General features: G+C 38.5%; 1 long non-coding RNA gene across 1 annotated transcript, besides 2 other annotated features; it reads left to right on the top strand.

Annotated features, from left to right (window-relative positions):
• Nucleotides 1–1,120: 1,120 nt before the first annotated feature.
• Nucleotides 1,121–1,570, top strand: LINC00515 (long intergenic non-protein coding RNA 515). The gene has a single exon (NR_024092.2). It is a non-coding gene; the product is annotated as a long intergenic non-protein coding RNA 515 (long non-coding RNA).
• Nucleotides 3,683–3,742: an enhancer, noted in NCBI's record as "active region_18313". NCBI's record gives its function as "activates an Ori minimal core promoter by ATAC-STARR-seq in GM12878 lymphoblastoid cells {active_cell/tissue: GM12878}" and the evidence as "EXISTENCE:reporter gene assay evidence [ECO:0000049][PMID:35858748]".
• Nucleotides 5,569–5,638: an enhancer, noted in NCBI's record as "active region_18312". NCBI's record gives its function as "activates an Ori minimal core promoter by ATAC-STARR-seq in GM12878 lymphoblastoid cells {active_cell/tissue: GM12878}" and the evidence as "EXISTENCE:reporter gene assay evidence [ECO:0000049][PMID:35858748]".

Below are 6,456 nucleotides of genomic sequence, written 5' to 3'. Positions count from 1 at the left end.
TACCTTTCAGCTGTATTTGCATCGTCTGTATTGGTCCTCTGTATTTTTTTCCCTTTCTCTATTATTTTTCCTGCATTTATATTTTACTCACATTATGTCAAGCATATTTTAATTTCTGAAAGCTCTCTTTTGCTTCTGTTTCATAGAATCCTTTTCATGTTTTCTGGATGTGAAGTATTTTCATGAAGCTCTCTGAAGATATCAATATAATTTTTATTCATTTCTTCATTCACTTTCTAGTCCCTGAATCATCTCTTTTCTCCAGTGACAGATTTTTTTCTTAGTCTTTCATCTACATGTTTCAGGCTTTTTTCAAATGTCTTACGTTTGTTGGCTGTCAGTTTGTAGTTGAAGATGTGGATGTAGGGAGGTTGAGTGGCAGCTCTGTGGTTTGAGGAAGGTTTGGCTTCTCATAAGCATCACTAAGGATAAGTAGGTAAATCTGGCTGGTAGGATGAGGGTTTTTAAAATGCTAGAATGAAGAGGTCTTGTCTTGGCTACCGATTTCTAAATTGACTATCCTAGTTTTACCCAGACTGTTCTTTCACTTACTTTATAATAAAGATCCCTTCAATATTTTGCATGGGGCACTTCCTGGATTTAGGCCCTTCTATATTTGAAGATGGGGTAGTGTTCAACCAGTTTGTATACAGACCTTTAATTAATTCCTTTCTTTTTAATTAGTTTAGATTTAACTAATCCCTCTACTGTCTTCTATCATCTATGAACTTTTGCTGCCTCTGAGCTAAGGCCCAGCTGGGCCGGTTGGCTGCCTCTGATGGAACTTCCTCCACATGTTTTCTAGGTGGTGACATTCTCTAGTGTTTTATTAGTCACTTAGCTTTTTGTCTTTTAGAATTTGGTTGACGTCTCTTGTTTATTGATTTTTTTTCCATTCCCTTTGTTGTTTGTGAATTTACATACTTCGACATTTTTTCTTTAAAAAAATTGTGAAATATTTGAGCATACAGAAAAGTAGAGAGAATATTTTCACCAACTCTTGTTTGAGTGGGCACTTTTCGTGCTTTTTGGGCAGCTAGCACTGTTTGAACACCTGCTTTTTGGCAACTTCCCACTCTGTGGATCTCGCCTTACCCAGTAGAAGAATGAAATTTAATCTCCTGCCCTTCCTTGCAGCTGTGGCTCAGACAGGTAGCATGGGCTCACCAATTAGACATAACTGTGTGAAATCTGGAAGCAAGTACTTTGCAGACAAGAGTAGTATGAGATACATTTTGTTGAACGGAGCAGTGATGTGGTTTTCAAGGCAGCAGTGGCAGAGGTCCCATGTAATGGTGCAAGGTGTGGAGGCTTTGCTTAGCAGTTTTTCCCCCGCAGCTGCTCCAAGGTATAAAAATGGGCATTTTTGGGGGCTCCGTAGTCCTGACCTCCACGCCTGTGACTTGTGAGCCATTTTATTCTGTTTGTTTAAACTAGCTAGTGTAGATCCTGTTGTTTGTAACCAAGAGTGTTGACATACAGCCACTATTTAATTGTAACCACTGTCAACCTTTTTCCTTATTTCCTTCAGATCCTTTTGTGTTTAAATAAAGGAAAAGCTGCACATCCATTGAAGGTCTTGTTATGTCATTTCCTTCCTCTCAAGAAGAACCACTATCCTGTTTGTACCTGTCCTTACTCTTCATGATTTTATATTTTTTTTTACTACAATCCATAGTATTCTCTGTGTTTTAAAACTAAACATAATTGGTTTCATAATATATATCCTTTTGCAATTTGCTTTTATTGCTCATCATTGTTTTTTATGTATAGCATGTTGATACATGTAAAGAGTACATTCATTTCAACTGCTATATAGTATTTCATTATATGATTAATCCCATCATTAATTCATTTTCTTATTGATGACCACTGAGGATGTCATTGGCTTTTGAGTATTACAGTATCGCAGAAAATATCCTTGTGCGTGTTTCTTTGTGTACACATTTGATAATATCTCCAGGGCCTGTACCACAGTGGACCATGCATCTTCAGCTTTACTAAATATTAATTGGCTGCCACAATAGTTGTACCAGTTTACTCTCTATCAGCAGTATGAGCATTCCCATTTTCTCCACTCCCTCATTAACATTTATTATTTTCAGACATTCAGATATTTTGTTGGTTGAATATGCACGATCCTATCTCATTTAATTTGCTTAATACTGAGCATATAGTACCAATAAGCATCTCTTCATTTGTTTTTATGAATTACCAGTTTACAACCTTTGCCCCTTTTTACAATTGGATTTTTGGGCATCTCATATTAATTGTGTGTGTGTGTGTGTGTGTGTGTGTGTGTGTGTGTGTGTATATATATAATAGTGTATATATATAAGATATATATATATAATTTTTTTTTTTTTTGAGACCAAGTCTCACTCTGTTGCCCAAGCTGTAGTGCAGTGGCATGATCTTGGCTCACTGTAGCCTCTGCCTACTGGATTCAAGCGATTCCCCTGCCTCGGCCTCCTGAGTAGCCAAGTAGCTGGGATTATAGGCAAGTGCCACCACACCCAACTAATTTTTATATTTTTAAAGTAGAGATGGGGTTTCACCATGTTGGCCAGGCTGTTCTCCAGCTTCTGGCCTCTAGCGATCTGCTCTCCTTGCCCTCCCAAAGTGCTAGGATTACAAGTGTGAGCCATTGCACCTGGCCAGTTCTTTATATTTTTAGAAAGTGAAACCCTTGTGGGCCAGGTGCAGTGGCTCACTCCTGTAATCCCAGCACTTTGGGAGGCTGAGGCAGATGGATCACCTGAGGTCAGGAATTCGAGACCAGCCTGGCCAACATGGTGAAACCCCGTCTCTGCTAAAAATACAAAAAATTAGCTGGGTGTGGTGGTGCGTACCTGTCATCCCAGCTACTTGGGAGGCTGAGGCACAAGAATCGCTTGAACCTGGGAGGTGGAGGTTGCAGTGAGCTGAGATTGCACCAGTGTACTCCAGCCTGGGTGACAGAGTGAGATTCCGTCTCAAAAAAAAAAAAAGAAAGAAAGAAAGTTAAACCGTTGTCACTACAAATATTTCTTTTGTCTGGCTTACCTTTTAATTTTGTTTATATCGTCTTTAATTTTAAGGTAGACAGTTCATCTTTTCCTCTATGATTTATGTTTATGAAATTTAAGAAAGCCTTCCCTAACTTGATATTATAAAGCAGCCTACTGCATTGTTTATTTTAAAGTCTTGATTTTCACATTTAATTGTATAATTTATTTGAAGTTTGTTTTTTGCATATAGAGTGAGGAAAGGGACCTAATTTTGAATCACCCTCTCCTCCACAAGGATAGGCAGTTATTCTGGACCATTTATTTCCTGTCTACTCTTTTTCTTTTTTTTTTGTGATGGAGTTTCACTCTTGTTGCCTAGGCTGGAGTGCAATGGCGTGATCTCGGCTCACTGCAGCCTCCGCTAGCCGGGTTCAAGTGATTCTCCTGCCTCAGCCTCCCGAGTAGCTGGGATTACAGGTGCCTGCCACCACGACCAGCTAATTTTTGTATTTTTAGTAGAGACGCGGTTTCACCATGTTGACCAGGCTGGTCTCGAACTCCTGACCTCAGGTGATCTGCCTGCCTTGGCCTCCCAAAGTACTGGGATTACAGGCGTGAGCCACCGTGCCTGGCCTATTTCCTCTCTATTCTTACTGATTGTGCCATGCTGTCATATAAAAGGTTCCTTTCAGTGCCTGGGTCTGCTTCATTGGTCCATTTATCTGTCCATGTACCACTGTAGTAACACCGTTTTAACAACTATAGCTTTATAACAAGTTTCAATTTCTCTTATGGTGAGTTCTCCTTTCCTATTCTTTTTCAAAATTTTCATGCTTATTGTAGGGTCAGCTTGTTAACTTCTTAGTTGTCTTAAAATCTGTTTTGTCTGGCTGGGCGCGGTGGCTCATGCCTGTAATCCCAGCACTTTGGGAGGCTGAGGTGGGCAGATCACGAGGTCAGAAGATTGAGACCATCCTGGCTAACACGATGAAACCCCGTCTCTACTAAAAATACAAATACTAGCCTGGTGTGGTGGTGGGTGCCTGTAGTCCCAGCTACTTGGGAGGCTGAGGCAGGAGAATGGCATGAACCTGGGAGGCGGAGCTTGCTGTGAGCAGAGATTGTGCCACTGCACTCCAGCCTGGGCCACAGAGTGAGACTCCATCTCAAAAAGAAAAAAATCTGTTTTGTCTGATAATGGCATTCATACGTCGGGTTTCCTTTTAATGGTACATATTTTTCCATTCCTTTCAACTTTTTCATGTCATTATTTTTTAGATTTTCTCTTAAGAGCATACAGAAATCTTTTTTTTTTTTTTCCTTTCTTAAACCCATTCTCCTAAAATGATTGTGGATTTGGCGGTTTCTCCTATGGCTAAATCAGCATTTGCTTATTTTATTTTAAGATGATTTTGTTAGCACTGTGTATTCTGTTTTGGGATTTTTAAACGTGCTGATAAATTGCTTCTTTTTATCATTTAAGTAATGATCCTCTCTATCTCGGTAATAATGATTTTCTCCTTTAATCTAGTTTTCTTAATCTATTTTTTAGAAAATCAGGTTCTATTGTTAATACTAGTTTTTTTTTTTTTTTTTTTTTTTTTTAGTGTTTACCTGGTATATTACTTTCAGCATTTTTATGTTGTTAGGTTTTAAGTCTGTCTTTTGTAAATAGCATAAAACTTATTTTCCTTTTAAATCTAGTCTTTGAATTACTGTCTTTTAGTAGATAAATTTTAATTTGTATTCACTTTACTGTGATTATCATTTCTTTGCATTATTTTTTTCTCCTTTCCTGTCATATGTTGGATTAATCCAGTTTTCCTTATTTTCCCTTTCTTTTTACTTTGTGTTTTAGAAGTTAGTATTTCATTCATAGGTGTACCATTATTTATTCCCTATTTATGGTTGATTTTTAATTTTTGTTACTATACTAATACTTCAGTTAGTAGCCTTGTACATATATAATTCCACACGTGTGCTGGTAGCTCTGTAAAATACATTGTTGTACTTGATTCCAGGTCAAAGAGTATATGTATTTTAACTTTTAATAAATATAGATAGTCTTTTAAAGATAAATTTATCCAATAAGCAGATTTTATATGTCATATGTGATTACATATATTGAAGGAAAGGGGAAATATTTTGTTTTAGGAGTGGCTACTACTGCAGTGTTATTTTTGAAGCATCTCAAAATTGGTTATTATGTCAGGATTGCCTGTTGAGAAAAAAATTCTGCAGACAAAATTTCATATATTTATAATATATGAATTTTTATATTTATAATATTTCATATATTTATAGTAATGAAATTTCTTAAAGCAAACATGGATACTGCCTTCCTGATCTGCAGGATTTAGGGAAAACCAAACTGATGCTTGAGCGTCTGTAAGGAATCCATACAAGTCAACTTGAAAAACAATTTCTCAAATTGGGACACGCATATGCCAGGTATAGGCAGTCCTCAATATTGGAACAAGTTGAATTTCCAACATCAGTGGGTACTTAGATACATTTTCTCATTCAATTTAAGCAACTGAGCAAGGTCCTGAGCTGGGTGTAATACCAAAAAATTGAAAAGGATTCTCCTTTCCTACAGAAGCTCAATCTAGAAGAGACGATAATGTATACACAAGTAACAAACCAAACGTGGGGCACAATGCGAAGCACGTTTATGGAGGAGCTATAATCTGCTTTGGGAGTATGGAGGAGAAAGATCACTTTTGGCTGTAACCCTTTTTGGAGTTCTTTTACTATGTGCTTGGCCTGGATTAAGGGAGCACATTGCTGAGTGGCCAGCATTTGAGAAAGGACAGAATTTTCCTAAGTGGAGACTGGGTATGATTGTTGAAGCCTTGCAGCACAGGTGAAAGGGTGAGATGGGATGGCAGTGACATTTGTGGCTGTCTCATTAGTCAACCCACTCCTTGCAAAGCAAGAACTGGCACCCAATTCCTTCTCATTGACTTTCCCTCTCTGTTGCACTAGGCAGCAGCTGATAGATTGGGGTTAGTATCAGGTCATTGGTTGGTTGCAGCTTTTGGTAGAACATAGGGCAGCTGGTTTTGGGGTGGTGGGTCGGGGGAGCGGGGGAAGTCAGGTGTATTTTATTGAGGTGGTTAGGATGGTTTTGGTGATGAGAGATGATGAAACTTCATTGGAATTTCATTGCTGCTTATCTCCAGAGAGGTCAACCACAAGACATCTCTTATTACTTAGCCTATGTTGCAGACTCTCATTACACAGTGAATAGTGTGTAAACAGATCCATATGTTGCAGGATTTCTGCTGAGCACCATTCCTAGTAGCCACATCAACAGTAGCATCGTATATAAAACCACTACTTCCTCAGAGTTGGTTTAGGAACCACCTGAATCTGAACTACCTGGTCAGCCTGTTAAAAATGTAGTGTCCTCAGCTCCATTACAGTATTAGAATCTCTGGGAGTGGGAGCCTGGGAGCTTGGG

The sequence above is a fragment of the Homo sapiens genome, chromosome 21, assembly GCF_000001405.40.
Source record: "Homo sapiens chromosome 21, GRCh38.p14 Primary Assembly".
Taxonomy (NCBI): Eukaryota; Metazoa; Chordata; class Mammalia; order Primates; family Hominidae; genus Homo; species Homo sapiens.
This window is presented reverse-complemented; position numbering and strand designations above follow the sequence as displayed.